We start from the raw sequence: 19,263 nt of genomic DNA, 5'->3' as shown, positions 1-19,263 counted from the left end.
ATTAGCTAGTCATGGTGACACACACATGTAGTCCCAGCTACTTGGGAGGTTAAGGTGGGAGGATCACTTCAGCCTGGAAGGTCAAGGCTGCAGTGAGCTGTGATCACACCATTGTACTCCAGCCTGGTTGACAGAGCAAGACCCCATCACACACACGCGCACACACACACACACACACACACAGAAAAGCTGAGCCAGATTCGGTTGGACACAGTTACAAATCCCCCTTGAAACACCCCACCCCTCATTCTTGAGCGGTTAGGGATGAAGGTCATTCTTCTCTGTCTACTTCATGCTGACAGGGAACAGTGAGGCTACTAAAGTTAGAGGAGTGAAATTCTCAGGCTCCTGAGTTCAAATAAGTTTTTTAGTCATCTGAAGTTGCTCAAAGGAGCTGGTATTGCTGCTGTTACACAAAATGAGGACACAAACTGTACTATCAATTTAAAATACAGGGACCGAAAAGTAACAGAACAGAGGCCACTAGAGGCCACAGCAGAGGAAGAAACGAGGTGAAGTGAGGTACAGCAGACTTCACTGCATTCCAAGATAGCTCGTTGGTTGAGCTACCCTTCTGGTTGAAGGAATGCAGCTGTTCTACTTGTTTAAATATTTCCTTTCTTTTTTTTCTTTCTTTCTTTTTTTTGAGATGAGTCACGCTCTGTCGCCCAGGCTGGAGTGCAGTGGCGGGATCTCGGCTCACTGCAAGCTCCGCCTCCCGGGTTCACACCATTCTCCTGCCTCAGCCTCCCTAGTAGCTGGGACCACAGGCGCCCGCCACCACGCCCGGCTAACTTTTTGTGTTTTTAGTAGAGACGGAGTTTCACTGTGTTAGCCAGGATGGTCTCGATCTCCTGACCTCGTGATCCACCCGCCTCAGCCTCCCAAAGTGCTGGGCTTACAGGCTTGAGCCACCGCACCCGGCCCCTTTCTCTCTTTTTTTTTTTTTTTTTTTTGAGACAGAGTCTCGCTCTGTCACCCAGGCTAGAGTATAGTGGCACGATCTTGGCTCACTGCAACCTCTGTCTCTTGGGTTCAAGCGATCTCCTGTCTCAGCCTCCTGAGTAGCTGGGACTACAGGCGTGCACCACCATGCCCAGCTAATTTTTTTGTATTTTTAGTAGAGACCAGGTTTCACTATGTTGGCCAGGCTGGTCTTGAACTCCTGACCTCAAGTGATCCACCCACCTTGGCCTCCCAAAGTGTTGAATATTTCTTTTACATTAGCCTCTATTTCCTCTGGAGGCATTTACCCAAGTGCAACAGGAGGTATTGGTGCCACACACAGCCCTCCCGTTCTGCTAGTAAATAGTCTAAGGCCAATCGCTTTTCTGACACTACATTGGCTAGTGAATTTAGAGAAATACATATATTTTAGAGAGCCTCTCCAGTTTTAGCTGCCAGAGCCTTGGGTATTCAGATTAAATTTCTTAGGGTGACTTCATAACAGGCAACCCCCCCGCAAGAAAGGGCAGCCAACCCCACAGCAAGTCCGGCAGCTTCCATGGTTTGTCCAATAGCCCCCGTCCTTTTTTTTTTTTTTTTTTGGTCTCTTATGATGGCTGGTTGCACTATGGGCTGTTACCCTGATAGGCCCCAGAAGCCCACAGTACACTGTCCTAGGCATATTACATTGCCGAAACAAGGGTGAGCCACTGCAAATACTCTTTTGTAGCATGTTTGCCTCTTTTCTCCTTTTCCTGAGCAATTTAAATAAACTTGGCCTATTCTCTTAGTGACATTGCCCTTAGCAGGTGAGGTCCACACAACCCTGTGATGTTAATGACTCCTCTCAAAGGATTAGCAACAGGTCACCCCATCCAAGTGTGGGGAAGCCTATGGCACATCCAACATTTGAACAGATTGTTCCCACCAGCTGTGATACAGGAGACCTTGATTATTATATTGGCCTCCCAGAGATCACTGGCCAAGGCAACTAAAAGGGCCAAAAAGCAGGCTGGGTGCGATGGCTCACGCCTGTAATCCTAGCACTTTGGGAGGCTGAGGTGGGCGGATCAAAAGGTCAGGAGTTCGAGACCAGCCTGGCCAGCACGGTGAAACCCCGTCTCTACTAAAAATAAAAAAATTAGCTGGGCATGGTGGCGCACATCTGTAGACCCAGCTACTTGGGAGACTGAGGCAGGAGAATCACTTGAACCTGGGAGGCAGAGGTTGTAGTGAGCCGAGATTGCGCCACTGCACTCCAGCCTGGGCGACAAGAGTGAGACTCAATCTCAAAAAAAAAAAAAAAAAAAAAAAGGCCAAAAAGCATAGGGGCCATTTTTAGGTGTTTTATGAAGGGATTTGCCACCACCTAAGCATCTCCACAGTGTAAAAGGGCAACAGCATGAGGGTTCCTGCAGGGATAAAGAAGATGCCTACTATGGCAAGAGAATGGCAAGGGGCACACTTGACTTATCTGAGCCTTTTCTTCTAAAAACCAATTTGAGGTCTGAGATGGGTTCACAAATGTATGCTGGGGAGGCATCTTCTGGGGGCTCCTGGGCTTTCACTCTTTTTTTTTTTTTTTTTGAGACAGAGTCTCTCTATGTCACTCAGGCTGGAGTGCAGGGGTTCAATCATAGCTCACTGCAGCCTCAAACGCCTAAGCTCATGGGATCTTCCCGCCCCAGCCTCCGTGCACCACCAATTAGCGGTGCCTGGCTAATTCTTTTACTTTTTGTAGAGACAAGGTCTCACCATGTTGCCCAGGCTGGTCTTAAATTCCTGGCCTCAAGTGATCCTCCCCCATCTGCCTCCCAAAGTGCTGGGATTACAGGCGTGAGCCACCATGCCTGGCCTCTTCACTCTTGAGTGATGGATCCAAGGGGTTACTTCTTGGAGTTTAAGAGAAGAATGAGTGGTTAAAAGTGTTAGGTTGGGCCCCATCCATAGCGGGCTGAGCTGGTCCTGGGAGTACTCAGCCTTCTGGGTCCTGAGGTATACCCAGTCTCCTGGGTTGTACAGATGAAGTTTTACCCCAGAGGGGACCAGGAGGCTGGGGTTGCTGAGGTGGTTGAGAATAGCAACAAATGACTCCAGATGAATAACATAATATGCTTCATCACCCTTTCTATCTCCTCATCTGGGCAAGAGAAGGGGCTGGCCACGCCTGGATAAGGCCTTACATATTAACATTTCTTTTTTTTTTTGGAGACTGGGTCTGTTGTCCAGGCTGGAGTGCAGTGGCGTCATCACAGCTCACTGCAGCCTTGACCTCCCTGAATTCAAGCAGTGTTCCTCCTTCAGCCTCTCAAGTAGCTGAGATTACAGGTGCGCACCACCACGCCTGGTTTTTATTATTATTTTTTAAATAGGGAGGAAGTCTCACTATGTTGCTCAGGCTGGTCTCGAACTCCTGGGCTTAAGTGATCCTCTTCACGGGTGGGCCTCTCAAAGTGCTGGGAATACAGGTGTGAGTCACCACGCCCGGCCCCATATAATCTTACCTTCCCTCCCCTCGCCTTCCCTCCCCTCCCCTTCCCTTCCCTTTCCTTTCTTTCTTTTTTCCTTTTTTGAGACAGAGTCTTGTTCTGTTGCCCAGGCTGGTCTCGATCTCCTGGGCTTAAGTGATCCTCTTCACCAGTGGGCCTCTCAAAGTGCTGGGAATACAGGTGTGAGTCACCATACCCGGCCCCATATAATATTTCTTTCTCTTTTTTTTTTTTGAGACAGAGTCTTGCTCTGTCGCCCAGGCTGGAGTGCAGTGGCGTGATCTCGGCTCACTGCAACCCCTGCCTCCCAGGTTCAAGCGATTCTCATGCTTTAGCCTGCTGAGTAGCTGGGATTACAGGCACATGCTGCCACACCCGGCTAATTTTTTGTATTTTTAGTAGACATGGTGTTTCACCATGTGGCCAGGCTGGTCTCAAACTCCTGACCTCAAGTGATCCACCTGCCTCAGCCACCCAAAGTGCTGGGATTACAGGCATGAGCCACTGTGCCCAGCCCCATATAGCATTTCAAAGGAGCTAAGTCTCATTCTTTCTCTGAGTGCTACCCATACTTGGACCAAGGCTATGGGTAACAGCTTTAACCAATTATCTTGGGCCTCCTGGCATAACTTGGCTAGGATACCTTTGAGAGTTCTATGGGACCTTTCAGTCTTTCCCAAGGAGTTTGGTCTCCAGGCTACATGCCACTTCCACTGTATGACCAAGGCCTGGGAAGTTTTTACTACTATGTTAGAAATGAATGCGGGTCCATTAGCACTCTGGACTGACTTAGGGAGACTGAATGGAGGGATAAATTCCTTTAGTAAAGACTTCATGGCTTCTGCCTTTTCAGTCCAGCATGGAAAAGCCTCTATCCAACCAGCAAAGGCATCAGAAAAGCACCAGGAGATATTTAAATCCTCTAGAAGACATAGGCATAACACTGGAGTCAATTTGCTAGTCCTCCCCTCACATGGTTCCCCTGAATTGTACCACCTTGGCCAAGGGAGATATGGGAGGTCTGTTTTGAGCATTGTTTCTCTGACAATAGACACATTGGTCAGCCACTTTATCCATCATTTTCTTTGCTTTTGGGGTCCTTATTATCCTGAGGAGCTAGGTGTGCATAGTCTTCTTGCCATAGATTGAGAGATCATGGGCAGGCTTTATAATAGCCCAACTCAGATTTCTGGGCACCCAAATCCTGCCTCTCTTATTTAGGGCCCATCCCTCTGAGAGGGAACTCTGATGCTCTCCCTCTCGCATGGCTTCCTGTAATTCCCCAGGGGAGTGTCTTGGTTTATTGGTTTATATTCATAAAGAGGTACTGAAGGAAGCAGGGACTTTCCCTCCCTGTGTGTGCCAGGTTGCTCCCCTTCATTAGTTCAAAGTCCCCCATTAGATGACCCCCACAATCTGTCTAGTCATTTCCACTGTGCAGTAGTGCCAATATTTATGTTTCATATTTGATTTATTTGTTATTGGCATTCAGAAGTCCCCTTTCGTACCCGATTGCACCATGGGCATGGATCACAGTGAGCACATATCTCAAGTCTGTATAAACAGTCAAGGCCTTGTCCTTTCTTCATGCCAGGGCTCTGGTTAAGGCTATTATCTGAGTCTTTGGGGCTGAAGTTTGGGCAGGGAAGCTTTTGGCCTCTATGGTTTTCCATAGGGAGAGAACCACATATCCTGCCCTTCTTTCGCTCTTCCGTGAAGCTATGGCCATCTACAAACCCTATGTCTTCCTTTCCTTTTTCAACCACATCTCTGCTACAGAGAACCTTGAAGGTCATTTCTACTAAATGCAAGCGGTTAATATTAGGAACTGAGACTTGTGTTTTTCCCAGGCATGTCCTCAAACTTTGGCTAAATTAACCTTTATTGATTGAGACACCTGTCTCAGTCATTTTTTGGTTAACACAATACAGATAAAGTAGGATCCCTATCTCATATTACACATAAACATTAATACAGATGGACCAAAGACCTAAATATGGGGGATGGATCAGTAGAAAATACGGGAGAATATCTCTATGACCTTGGGACAAGGGCTGAGTTTTTAAGCAAAACACAAAATGCTCAAATCATAGAGGAAAAGATTGATAGTCGCCTGTGTTACAATTTTAGATTTGTGCTTCAAAAAGACACCCTAGGAATTAGGGGTGGAAAGGAAGCAAGCCACAGAGTGGGAGCAAATATTTGCAATTAATGCGCTGAACTAGTAAAAGACTGGTATCCATAAAATTATAAAGAACTACCAATCAATAAAAACCACAACCCAATAGAAAAATGGGCATAAAATACAAACAGGCAATTCTCAGAACATGAAAACAGAGTAGTCAATAATTACATAAAGAGAAGTTCAAACTTACTCAAAGTAGGGAAATGAAAATCAAAGTTATAATGAATATTACATTCCACACCCATCAGGTTGGCACGCTCAAACTGTATGTTTAAGATGCTATATTTAATGTTATTACAATCAAACTATGTTCAAGTTTTTTAATATGCTATTACAATCATTATAACAGCAAAAAATTGGCAACACTCCAAACGCCCATTACAAGAGGATGGAACAGGATATAGAGTGGATATTAGCGAATTAGGCCCATACATCTGCGTGGGAGCATCTCAGAGAACGCAGGGGCGAAACGCCGGAAGGGCACACAAACCAAGCCCCGCCCCCGGGAACCCCGCTCCCACACGGAGCATGCTGGAGGCTGATAGGTTGGTTTGACCACGCCAGTTCCGCCTTCGCCTGCCCCCTTAGAGCCCCGCCCCCGCGCGGAGCATGCTGGGGACATACGGACTCACTTTCCTCGCCAACCCCGCCCTCCGGAGCTACCAGCAACAACCAACGGGCAGCGAGCAACGGGCGCGCGCTGCTCCCTTAGGAGGCGGTGACCATCTGCCCGTGTGCCCAGGGCCTCTGAGGGCGCTGGATGGCTCCGTTGTGTCCGGGTGGTCTCGGGAGCTGCAGGGAAGGGGCGGGAAAACTACACCGGACCCCATGGGGAGCGCAGAGGCGGAAAGGGAAGGGCCTAGGGACCTCAGATTGTTTTGAATCAAGGGCAGAAAGATCGGGTCGGAGGGAGGGAAGGAAATACTTCCGTGCCTTCAGAGGGAGTCTAGAGTCCCAGGCCGTGCCGGGTGGAAGGAACTGTGCAGCGTCCCAGAGGGAAGGAAGAAGAAGGGAAGAGAAGTGGACTCAGAAAAAGTGGAGGGGAAAGAAGGGAGATGGGAGAAATGGAGGGCAGAAGAGGCAACGTTCCCCAGCCCTATAAACCATAATGAGCCCATATGAGAAAGCAGAAAGGTGGGTGGGAAGTGGGGGGCTAGAAAGGAAAAGAAACAAAAGCTGTCTTGGTCTGAGTCAGGAGCCCAGCTGTTGTGACAGGAAGGGACCTCAGAGATGGCTTTCACAGGTGGCTGTGACTATAGCTCTTTCTGGTGCCTCAAGCTCCCTCTTAACCCCTGGGAGACTTTTACCTTTGGGAGAGATTTCCCTTTGGGTTAAGGAGGGGAAAGAGGGACAGAGGGACAGTGGCAAGGGATGCCAGGAGAAGGTGAGGGAGAGGACACATGAGTGTTAGGTTTTTGAAAAAAGACGAGGGTTAAAGACAAGAGAGTTGACCACTCTACAACACAGGTTTATTAACACAACCTACAGAGGTGGGGACCAACTTAATGCCAAAGCCCCACTAGCACTTACAGGCTGGAATCATTATAGGCCTGGATGAGGGGTCTGGAATGGTAGGACTTACTGCCCAAGAGGATGTTAATAAAAATATTTCTTAAACCTTTGTCCCAACAAGATGTGATAAAGAAGTCAGACAGTTGGGGAGGATGTTACTTACAGCCCAAACCCCTGCAGAATGTTTCACTGTGACCAGGGTCTATGAAATGGCAGGAAGATTTACAAAATAATACAGCTTGGACTAAAAATTAGGGCCCAGCCTGGGGAGAGCTAGGCACTGATTTTTAGAGAAGTCTATGTCTTTGGCTATGCCAGAAGCACTGCAATCTTATTTCAAGGGCTTCTGGATGTGGTGGACTAAGTCTAAGACTAGGGGGTCCAGAGAAGACCCCATCCTTAGTAACCCTTGTCAATAGGGAGACTTCTCACGGAATCTGCTCTTTGGGTTTGACCCTCTGTCTTCATGTTCATGCCTCATTCATCTTTGTTAGGTTTTGAAGGGAAGGTGAGGGTTAAAGAGTTGGCAGCTTAACAGCAACACAGGTTTATTGCCAGCACAAACCTGTGGAGGGGGGACCAGCTTAGTCTCAGAGCACGAGTCCCACTTACAGACTGGGACATTTACTATAAGGAAGAGGAAAGCAACACGAAGGGTGGCTGGGCAGTCAACAAGGACAGGTTTATTTTAGAAAATAAACTTGAGAGGGGCTTCTGGCCGAGTTAGCTCAGACTAACTTCTGTTACAGACTAAGGATATTTAAGGGTTTTGGAAGGGGTCTTATCGTAGGTTCCGAATGTTTCTGTGTGAGGGAAAGTTTATTGCGGGGTTGGAATGTCTCTGGTCGGAAGGGAGGCTGTCTCGGGGTTGGCATGTTTCTGGTCAGAGGGGTTTATCTTAGGGTTGGAATATTTCTGGTTATGCTGACATTAGCCATTAGGCTGATGTTTTGGGGCTGGATTTAGGCGGCTTTTAATGAAGGGGGAACTTAGAATGGTGGTATTTGTTCAAGATGGCAGTGCTCCTGCTCTGTCAGTTATGGGTCTGGACCGGGGGAGAAGGGGCAGTATAGCTTGCTCCCCTGCAGGATGTTGAAGATGTTCCTTGGGCCCTTCATCCAGCAGGATGTAATAGAGATGTTCCTGTGGTTAGGTGGTTAGGCAGTATTTTTTTATGACCTGAACCCCCATGGAATGTTTTATTCTGACCAGGTTCTGTGAAATGTTGGGAGACATCTGCGGCCATACTGTAAGGCTCTTGTGTTGGTTCGAACCCCGAGAGCTTGCCAGCAAAGAACACAAGGCAGTGTGGAGCAACACGCTGTTTTAATGAGCACCTGGGTGCAGATGGGCTGAGGCCTAAAATGGCGTCAGCCCCAGGTGAGGACGGGGCAGGGGTTTTATAGTCTCCTGTAAACAGGAAGTGTCCCAGTCTGATGTAACTGCTACATGGTACCCAGATGGCCTCTCTCTTGATCTTCAGGGGTACGTGTCTCCTGGCCAGCTCTCTTCCTGCTTCTGCTATCTTGCTGACACACGCTGCTAGCACAAGTGGTCTTGTGCCTTGGGACTGGGCCTGAGAAGGGAGGAGTTATTCATCCCCCCAAACTTTCAGGCCCCGGGGAGAATCTTTCACATACCACCCTGAACACGCCCAATCTCGTCTGATCTCAGAAGCTAAGCAGGGTCTGGCCTGGTTAGTACTTGGATGGGAAATGATCACAGGGAGGCTTACAAAATGGTATAGGATATCTTGTGGTTTAAGCCCATTCCCTCCGGGAAGACCTTGTTGGTTTTCTCCCTACAGAACCTGCTGTGTACAAAATGGTGTAGGATATCTTGGGGTTTAAGCCCATTCCCTGAACCTGCTATGACATTAACTGAACAGCTCCTGGGGGTGCATCCCAATAGGGAAGTTATTGAGCTCCCAATGTTTTCGTGAAGCTGCTTTGTCAACTGTGAAATAATTATTGCCCTGCCCACTCCTGGGGTTGTTAGAGACCCAGTGAGATACTAAAAGTGTGTTTAAAGCATGTAGGGTCTGCAAATGCAATAAAGTGTGGTCAGAAAGCCCAACTCACGTGGCTTTGGGGGCCACTGGTGAGAGAAGAGACTGGAGGCAGCCTGTTGTGGTCAGAGCCTCCTGCTATTGTCAATTTCTCCTCACTGTCCCCTTTACCAGGAAGGCAGTGTCAGTTTGATCAGCTGCCAGTCTGTTTGCCCTCATTCCCCCTGGCCCTGCCCTGAGTCCAGCGACCTGGATTTGAAACCTGCATCTGTCACTTACTAGCTGAGGGATCTTGGGCAAGACATTTCAGCCCTTTTCTGCTTAAATAGAGTTAAGACAGCCTATGAATGAAACTATATAAACCAAGGCATTTCTGACTCCAGTAGGAGGCAGCTGCTGTGAGGGAGAAGCCCTGGCCAGGAATCTGTTATAGTTATTTTGTCACCAACTGGAATGGCCTTGGGACAAAGCACAACAGCTGTCTTGACCTCATCAATAGCCTTGACCTCATCCCTCGTGTCATGCTGTGTCATCTTCAACATCTGTCACTTCCATCAGCCTTAGCATTGGCCTTGGCCTCAGTTTCCTCATGTGTGACTTGAGGATGATGATTCTTATAGGAATCAATAAGCTTGGGATAAAGAAGCTATTGGGTCACATTATACATACTTTAAATGCATTAAGTGGGGTCTGCAGTTCCTAGAGATTAGCAGATTGCATTGCGTGAGAACAGAGCCATAGAGAATGTTTGAGGTCCCATTAATAGCTGATAGGAGGCTGATCAGTAAACACTGGGAGGGGAGGATTGACTCTTGGGTGAAGAGTTGGAGGAGGGTGGAGGATTGAGTCTTGGGTGAAGAGTTGGAGGGTGGAGGATTGAGTCTTGGGTGAAGAGTTGGAGGGTGGAGGATTGAGTGTTGGGTGAATTGAGTCTTGGATGAAGAGTTGGAGGGTGGAGGATTGAGTCTTGGGTGAAGAGTTGATTGGAAAACAAAGCTGAACAGAAAACCAGGGCATCATCAACACTGATGAGTAATTTTTTTTCTCTATAAAATGATTATTTAGATTAAGAAAAGGAATGACAAATTTTGAAAAGCCGACAAACACCACAAACTCCAGAAAAAAAAGAATCCTGACATTTTTACTAAGTGACAGACACACCTTCGCCTTTAAAACACTCTGTCCCCCCCATATTTCTTGGCTGCAGACTCTTTGATCACATTTTCGTGTGACAGTGATTTTGTAATATTTTCTATGGGGAGAATAGAAAGATAATTCCGTCTCTCCTTTGGCAGTAGGCATGTCCCTGTGAGGGAGGAGATCAGCAGGATTTTTCCAAGCACCTGTCAAAACCCTGCTGATCAAAACAGAACATAACAATAACAAAGAATGGCCAAAACCAGCTCGGAATAGGAATTAAAATGCATTTGCATAAGATACTCCCACCAGGGCCATGACAGTTTACAAATGATCCCACGGCAATAACCCAGGAATTATCTTATATGGTTCCAGGAACTTCCTGTTCCTAGTTTATGAATAACCTGCCTCTTATTTAGCATATAATTAGCAGGGGGTATAAATATAGCTAGCCAGCAATCCTGGAGTGCTATTCTACCTGTGGGGTAGCCCTGCTCTGTCTGTGGAGCAGCCATTTTGCTGTACAATGTTGCTTTAATAAACTTGCTTTGCTTTCAGTTTTGTCTGTTAGCTCACTCTTGAATTCCTTCCTGAGCAAAGCCAAAAACCCTCCCCGGCTGAGTCCCGATACGGGGATTTGCTTACATCAGCCAGAAGTAATTTATGCACAAAGATAACTATAGCAATTTTTAGTAGATACAGAAGTGACTTCAAAGCCCAGAAATGTGTCCCACTAAACTCATACAAAATGATCCCCAATTTTACCTTCTCCCTTAGCCATATCCAAAATAGCCACAGCCATTCCAACAGGACAGACGCGTGACAGAGGGAGAATATGAACTGAAAAGAGACACTAGGCCTCAACCAACTTGTAAAAATGTCTTCTACATATTTTCCAAAAGCACATGACAAAAGCATTGATAGGGCTCCTCCCAAGGCAAAGAGGGCCCCTGAGGGTTAAGCTTAATGTTGTCTCTGAAGCCACCTCTGCTCTGAATAATCGCAGCTGCACCGGTTGCAGCTCGCTCTTCCCCCAACATGTCCCACCTCACCCTCTCAACAATACAGTGGGGATGTTCTGAGATTTGTACCCACCGCCTAAAAGAACCCTCCTCTGGGTGGGATGAGATTCTCTGGCCCTTAGCAGGGCTCTAGCCTGCCCTGTCCTCTCCTACACATGCACCGGCAGTAAAAGCTGAACTTTGAACCACAGGTGCACTTCTTGAAAGGGGGCAGAGTGGGAGGCAGAAAAAACACGTTGGATCCTATACATGCCTTTGGGAACCCCCAGTGAACTCTCGGGGTTCCGTGTCTGGTCATCTTTACACTCCCTTCTAAGACTGCTGGGAGGAGCTATTGAACACTCTTGCATGAGACATCCACAAGCATAAAAAACATGGCAGCGGGGGAGGGGAAATGAGAGAGAAAAAGAGGAGAAGAATTTGAATAAAAGACTGTAGCTTGGAAGAGAAGGCAGTGGGGAGGGGCACCCAGATCTGGCCATCCTCACTGTCCCCCTGTTGCTGTGCCAGAGGCTGGCCCTGCCAGGAAAGCGTCATACCTTACCTCAGTTTCCCCTTTAAAACAGGGTTGCTAATTCCTACCTCACAGGGTGGTCCTCATGAGGATAACATGAGATAATGTCTGGGGAAATTGCTTGGGAAAGTGTAAAAGGCCACTCACACAGAAACCCCTCATGACCCATGTGGCCAAAGTGGGGACGTGGACTTAGAGGCCCTGGACCCAGGCCTGGGCCCTGCCTTGCCTGTCTGGGGAAATGGTCCTGGCCTTTACTCAACACTGACCCTGCCTTGGGAGGAAGAGCCTGCCCAGGCCAATCTCCCACGCCCTGACCGAAGCAGGTGCCGTCAGACAGAGTCCTGGCTTGGGAGTCAGAGGGACTGAGCTCAACACGTGGGTACCCTAGAACCTGCGCCTGGATAACTGAGTTGCTGATGCAGCCTGAAGGGGTGGGTTGCCCCTCCACACCTGTGGGTGTTTCTCGTTAGGTGGAACGAGAGACTTGGAAAAGAAAAAGACACAGAGACAAAGTATAGAGAAAGAAATAAGGGGACCCAGGGGACCAGCGTTCAGCATATGGAGGATCCCGCCAGCCTCTGAGTTCCCTTAGTATTTATTGATCATTTTTGGGTGTTTCTCAGAGAGGGGGATGTGGCAGGGTCATAGGATAATAGTGGAGAGAAGGTCAGCAGATAAACACGTGAACAAAGGTCTCTGCATCATAGACAAGGTAAAGAATTAAGTGCTGTGCTTTGATGTGCATATACATAAACATCTCAATGCCTTACAGAGCAGTATTGTTGCCCGCATGTCCCACCTCCAGCCCTAAGGCGGTTTTCCCCATCTCAGTAAATGGAATATACAATCGGGTTTTATACTGAGACATTCCATTGCCCAGGGACGGGCAGGAGACAGATGCCTTCCTCTTGTCTCAACTGCGAAGAGGCATGCCTTCCTCTTATACTAATCCTCCTCAGCACGGACCCTTTACGGGTGTCGGGCTGGGGTACGGTCAGGTCTTTCCCTTCCCATGAGGCCATATTTCAGACTATCACATGGGGATAAACCTTGGACAATACCTGGCTTTCTTAGGAAGAGGTCCCTGCGGCCTTCCGCAGTGTTTGTGTCCCTGGGTACTTGAGATTAGGGAGTGGTGATGACGCTTAACGAGCATGCTGCCTTCAAGCATCTGTTTAACAAAGCACATCCTGCACAGCCCTTAATCCATTTAACCCTGAGTGGACACAGCACATGTTTCAGAGAGCACGGGGCTGGGGGTAAGATCATAGATTAACAGCATCTCAAGGCAGAAGAATTTTTCTTAGTACAGAACAAAATGGAGCCTCCTATGTCTACTTCTTTCTACACAGACACAGTGACAATCTGATCTCTTTTTCTTTTCCCCACATAGCCAGGCCCCCGCTGCTGGGGTAGCCCAGCCTACGCCTCCGGGGGCCTTCAGGGAAGAGAACCAGCTAAGGCTGGGGGGACCAGGAGAAGGGTCCCCCAAGGTTGGAAAGTGCATGCAGGAGGATGCTCAGCAGGGGCTGCAACAGGGGGGCCTTGGGAGCCCACCAGGCAGGGATCAGCAAGGGGTCTCACTCAGCGAGGGACTGCAAAGCCTCACTTCAGTCTCTAGGTCCAGGGATCAGGCTCACCAACTCCCTGCAGAGGCCCCAGCAGCAGGGGACCGCAGGCTCACAGCATGGACAGTGGGTGATATCTGTTGTAAGCTCTCCTCTTCCCTCTCCCGCTCCCCATGGCCTCCGCTATCAGAACATATTCTGCCTCTTGCAATATGGACAGAGTGGGTCCTTAAAAAAAATTACCTAAAATGTTAGCTCAGGGTTCACTTCCAGAAGAGAAAACAGGTGTAAGGGGTTCTGGGACAGGCCTGTGGAAATCGGGAGTGATACCAAGGCTGACTGTAGCATTGGGGATAAAAAGGAGGGAGGAGTCCCAGAGTAGGGTGGGGACCACATAGGACACCACTTCCTTAGGGCCCAGACAGAGGCAGGAGGTCTGATATCAGCAGTCAGTTGGGAGTTCCTAGGGGTCTGGGGTGGTGGAGAGAGACCTTCACAAGTTGGGCAGGCTGCTCTGCTTCACCCCAGATTAGAGGGCACTGCTGGACACCCACATGGCAAAGTGGCCAAATCCCAAGGGAAGACCCAAGGAGCCGAGTTGAAACTGCCCCCTGCTCCTGAACTCAGGGGTCAGCGATATTGCTGCTACTTGCTAAGCCCAGTTGCCCCTGTGTTATCCACTCCCCCTTGGAGACCTCGGGGCAGCATAGATTCCCCCCACCCAGGACTTGGAATGGGTCATCATTCAATGCTATTTAATTCCAAGGGTAGCCTGGACTCCAGACGACACATTCTTTTACTACTCTTCCTACTTTCCCATCCTAAATTAGGTCCAACCTCAAAGTTCAAATTTGAGTCAGAGGTTCTGCAGATATATAAGATGCCAGATACCCAGATAAAAAGTCAACCTAGAAATGTCTTTCATAAATTTCCTAGGGTCAAATTCAAGTCAAAAAATTAAGTTCCCTTGTCCTTTTAGGTTAAAGTCCAAAGGGAAAAAAAAGTCTTAAGGTCAAAGGATTCAAGCCCAAAGCAATCAAAGAGAGCCCAGGGATCCGTCAGAGCCCAGTGGTGTTAACCTCCTCCCCGAGGCTCTGTGCTCACCCAGTGAGCAAAGTGGCCCAGTAGGCACGGGAGGGCTGGGTGTCCTGGAAAGTGAGATCCTTCTCTCCACATCTCAGCATTTTCACTAGCCTGCCATGTGCTCCAGTTTTAAAAGACCCAGAGTTACTAGGAATGAGCAGATGGTGATAGCCTCAGCCTCCTGCTCGCCAACCACAGGGAAGTCCTTAGAGCAGCATGCAGGCCATGAGATGTCTCCAGGATCCCGGACCCAGCCCCATGTAGCCCTCTCTTCCTGCTACCTCAGTACTCCAGCAGGAATGCCCTGGCAGCTGATGGAAAGAGAGTAGACAGGGAAGACAAACCCTAGACCCCACAGCATATCTAACCAGGTGGAGGGTTAGCATTAGCCCTGGCGACCCCGCTGGGGTGGAGCAGGAAGCAATTTCTGCTGTCCTCCTCCCTGAGCGTATCTGTACAAGCAGTCATCACCTGCCTGGGTCTTATTTATAATACCTTCTCCTTTTCATATGTGTGAAATCTCATCATTTCCATTTCCCTCTGTATGCCCATTGCATGGATGTCTTCAGTCCTAAGAGATCCTGCCCCAGTCAGTGCAGCACAGCCCAGCAGGTTGCTGAGCTGAGCACCAGGGAGCAGTGGCTGTGTCCCACTGGCTCTCAGGACACTAGCTGTCCTCCACTGGGGATGTTCCCAGTCTTGAGCAGCACTGTTTCTGCAGCACAGTTGTCAGCAGTTGGGGACAGATGTCCACAGCTGTGCTTCCTCATGCGACTGCTGGCTTGCATCCCCAGCATGGCTCAGCTGGGGCCCTGGCAGTTGTGCTGGCTGCTGGCAGTCTTCACACACAGGGCTGGTCATTTGTGTTCAACCCCAGTGCCTTCCCTCCTTTTACTTTCTCTTTGCTTTCCGGCCCATATATTTACTTTTTCTGATCTGTTCCTCTAGATTTTGTCACTTGGGGGTCTCCCCTGGCAACAGAAAACAAAACCAGGCAATCCCAGGTTTGCCACAAGAATTGCTGTTGAAACAGTCCCACAGCTGCGCCCAAGAGATGGCGGCCATGGCCATCAGCCTCCCTGCCGTCAGCCCCTCTCTCCTGACTGGCTGTGCTCTCCTCAGGGAGGACTCCACTGAGCCCTCCTTGACACCTAATCCCTACATTTAAAAAATGCATTCCCTTAGGTCCTGAGCAACCCCAGACACCCACCCACAGTAACTATGCTGTCCCCAGGTATACCTAAAATATTTTCAATGTTTGATGCTGATCTTCTGTCCTTTAATTTGCCCAAATTCCCTACAGCCTCTGAGGGCTGCCCTGGCTCATGGAATGGCTTCTGATTCTTACGGAGTTGCTGTCTGCAGCATTGAATGGCCCCCCCTCAAGAGTGTTCTGGGTCACCTGGTTCCCTGGTGGTGACCTTGTCTGTTCCCAACGTCTGCCCTCCCCTCACATCAGGGAGCTTTCCTGTCCCCTAAGTTGGTCTGGCCCACTCCAGGGTCCCATGATCCCTCATCTCTGCACAGCCTGCCTCCTGACACCACTGCTCCCATTCTAAGGGTAAGACTGTGGTGTGTTTTTCAAACCATTCCAGTTCCTTCTGGATCTCCCAAGTAAACCCAATTCCCTGGGACAGACGGTTCTCAGCACAAGCCATTTGTATGGCCCTTGCTAGCTTTGGATGCGTATTGATTTCATTGTTTCTCTATCTCAACCCAAGAAAATAGCATATTCTCTGAAGGGCCCTGATTCCTTTTAATGCTGTTGTCCATTAACAAACTCTTACCTTTCTGTGGGCAAAGCCACGACTTTAGTCTCCCAATTCCTGGGTCAAAATGTACGTAATAGCCAGGCACGGTGGCTCATACCTGTGATCCCTGTAATATTCTGGGATGCCAAGGCGGGAAGATCACTTAGGGCCAGCCTGGGGAACCTAGTGAAATCCTGTCTCTACAAAAATAAAAATATAATTAGCTGGGCATGGTGGCACAAAACTGTAGTCTCAGCCACTCAAGAAGCTGTGGCGGGAAGATGGCTTAATCCCAGGAGTTCAAGGTTACTGTGAGCTTGATTGCACCACTGCATTGCAGCATGGGCAACAGGGAGAGACCCTGTCTCTAAAAAGAAACAACAAATTAAAACAAAATGTATGTAAGGCACAAATCGAGAGCCAAGCTGAGCCGCACAAGGGGACTAACTCAGCAGACCTAGGGATGTGTTTCGTGGGCTCAGGAGGGACCCTCCCCAGTCCCTGTTCTGGCAGGAGGCTTTGAGGACAGCTCATCTGGCACAACTCCACTGTGGGTGGTACAAGACTCATACCAGGTTGCACCGGCCCCTTGCTGCCTTCGCAGTTGGAAGTGGTGATCTCAGACCTGGCTGAGAACACAGTAAAGGCAGCAAGCCTGGGCCTGCCCTCCTCCATTCATGCCTCAGAGGTTGGGACCCTTCTGTAGCCTCCTCTGCACTGTCTCTCTTTGGATTAATAGGAGGCCCGTGCAGGAGTCAGAGAACACGGCTCTGAGCTGTGACCATCCCCAAAGCACTGCCCTGAGTTGCCAAAGGTCATATCCCCACATGGACCTTACTTTATACCAGCAAGATGGAACCTCCGGCCTGGGCCACTAGTTAAAAGCCAACCCTAAGACTGTAAGGATCAGCTCGTGGCTCCAAAGCTCTGTGGGGAACTGCCAAGGCCAGAAGCCAGTGTGGTCCCTGTGAAGCCCCCGCGCACACACCAGGCATCCCCAAAGCCTCAGACTTTATGTGGTTACTTGAGGACTCAAAGCTCAAAGCCTCTGCTGGATTTAAGGGGGCTTAAATAGAACACGCCTTTCTTCCCATTCCAATCCTGGGGCCTCCACCACAGTTGTGAGGGTCATAGCACATGCCAGAAGGCAGGGAGCACACAGCAAAGCAGGGCCCAGAAAGACTGAGCTAGACGGGGGGCGCTAAGGAGGTGCTTGTTTAGGGACATAAGCACCTCATGGGGAAACAAGGAGGTGAGGAAGAACGGCCCCCACTCCCAGCAGAAACACTGTGGTGGGAAGCTCAGGGAGGCTGGGGGTGGGCTGGGGAAGAGGCCAACAAAGTGGGAACAGCCCTCCGTATGGGCCAGTGTCTGGCAAGGTCTTAGTGGGATGGGGCAGTTGGGCAGTGCTTCTGCATGGCACGGTACCCAACGGTCGGCCTGGTGGTGGTGCTCTTCACTTCCTCTTCACTCCCTTCTACTGTGCATGTTAACTTTTGTATCAGGGAGTATGAGATATGGAAAAATGCATAAATGCATAAGGTTTAATAAATATATATAGGCACTTGTAAGAACAGAGAGAAAAATACTGCAGCACCCTGCCACCTCCCAAATGCCCCTGGCCAGTGGGACCGCTGTCCTGACAGTGATAGAAATCATTTCTTGGCTTTCATCACAATTTTCCCACCTACACGTGGTCCTCTGAACAGTACAGTTTGGGGGTCCTTGTTTTCAAACTTTATATAAATGGAACTGCATTATATATATATATCTTGTGGCTTTTGCTCAATATGTTTATGAGATTTGACCGTGGTGATATTTGTACCTATAGCTTGTTCATTTCACTGCTGTTGAATATTCCATGAATGAACAAGCATAATTTATCCAATTATTGATGGACATTGGGTTGCTTCGAGATACAAGTTTCTCCGGGATAAATATATCGAGGAGTGGGATTGTGGGCACGTTACAGCTGAGGAGGTTAGTAGTGGTGTGTCATGGTGGTTCTTATTTCCCTGATTTCTACTGACGATGAACAACTTTTCCATTGGATATTCTGTTTTGTGAAGTGGCTTCTAAAGTCCTTTGCTCATTTTTTTAAATAGGGTTTCCTAATAATGTAATGTTGAGATAGGAGATCAGCAGAACTTGTTTTCCAAGCACTGGTCAAGACCTTGGTCATGATCCCGCTGATCAAAACAGAATCTGGTCGGAACAGGATGCAGTGAAGAAATCAGCTGAAACCAGCTGGAACCAAGATGGCAACAAAAGTGACCTCACTTTTGTCCCTCACTGCTCATTATATGCTAGTGATAATGCATGCTAAAAGACATTCCCACCAGCACCATGACAGTTTACACATGCCACGGCAATACCCAAAAGTTATCTTATGTGATTTAAAAGGGGGAGGAACCCTCAGTTCCAGGAACTCCGGATCCCTTTGCTAGAAAATTCATGAATAACCTGCCCCTTATTTAGCATATAATAAGAAGTAGCTATACATATAGATAGCTGGTAGTCCAGGAGTGCTGCTCTGCCTATGGGGTAGCCCTGTAAACCCCATCCACCTGTATGGATGCTCTATGAAACCCACTTTTCTGTACTCTGTTGCTCTAATAAACTTGCTTTGCTTTCACTCTTTTCTGTTGGGTCACTCTCAAATTATTTCCTGTGCAAAGCCAAGAACGCTCTCAGGCTGAGCCCCAGTTTTGGGGCTCACTTGCATTAAGATAAGTTGCAGAAATTGTAGCATGTCTTTCATTCTTACGGTGTCTCACTAATAGTGTGTCAATCTTTCCTTATTGTATGTACTCATTTTATCTTACTTAAATCATAAAGATGATATTCTTCTACACCATCTTTTAAGATCTTTGTGGCCTTTTCTTTATGGCTGTAATCTATGTAGAACTGACTTTTGTGTGGGAGTTAAATAGGAGCCCAGTTTGATGTTTCTCCTTACATGGTAGCCAGCTGCCCAGCACCCCTAGTTGAATGAGTTCTTCTTTTCATGTGGATTTCAATGCTCCCCCAGTCTGATATTGTGTCC

The 19,263-nt window shown here is 48.5% G+C and overlaps 2 annotated features.

The window, feature by feature from the left end:
• Window positions 10,909–11,753: an enhancer, noted in NCBI's record as "H3K27ac-H3K4me1 hESC enhancer chr22:24250723-24251567 (GRCh37/hg19 assembly coordinates)". NCBI's record gives its function as "activates a minimal SCP1, AML or CMV promoter by ChIP-STARR-seq in naive H9 embryonic stem cells {active_cell/tissue: H9 hESC(naive)}" and the evidence as "EXISTENCE:reporter gene assay evidence [ECO:0000049][PMID:30033119]".
• Window positions 12,600–13,445: an enhancer, noted in NCBI's record as "NANOG-H3K27ac-H3K4me1 hESC enhancer chr22:24249031-24249876 (GRCh37/hg19 assembly coordinates)". NCBI's record gives its function as "activates a minimal SCP1, AML or CMV promoter by ChIP-STARR-seq in naive H9 embryonic stem cells {active_cell/tissue: H9 hESC(naive)}" and the evidence as "EXISTENCE:reporter gene assay evidence [ECO:0000049][PMID:30033119]".

Source organism: Homo sapiens, chromosome 22 (assembly GCF_000001405.40).
Source record: "Homo sapiens chromosome 22, GRCh38.p14 Primary Assembly".
NCBI classification, from domain to species: Eukaryota; Metazoa; Chordata; class Mammalia; order Primates; family Hominidae; genus Homo; species Homo sapiens.
The sequence above is the reverse complement of the archived record's forward strand: the minus strand, read 5'-3'. Positions and strand labels throughout refer to the sequence as shown.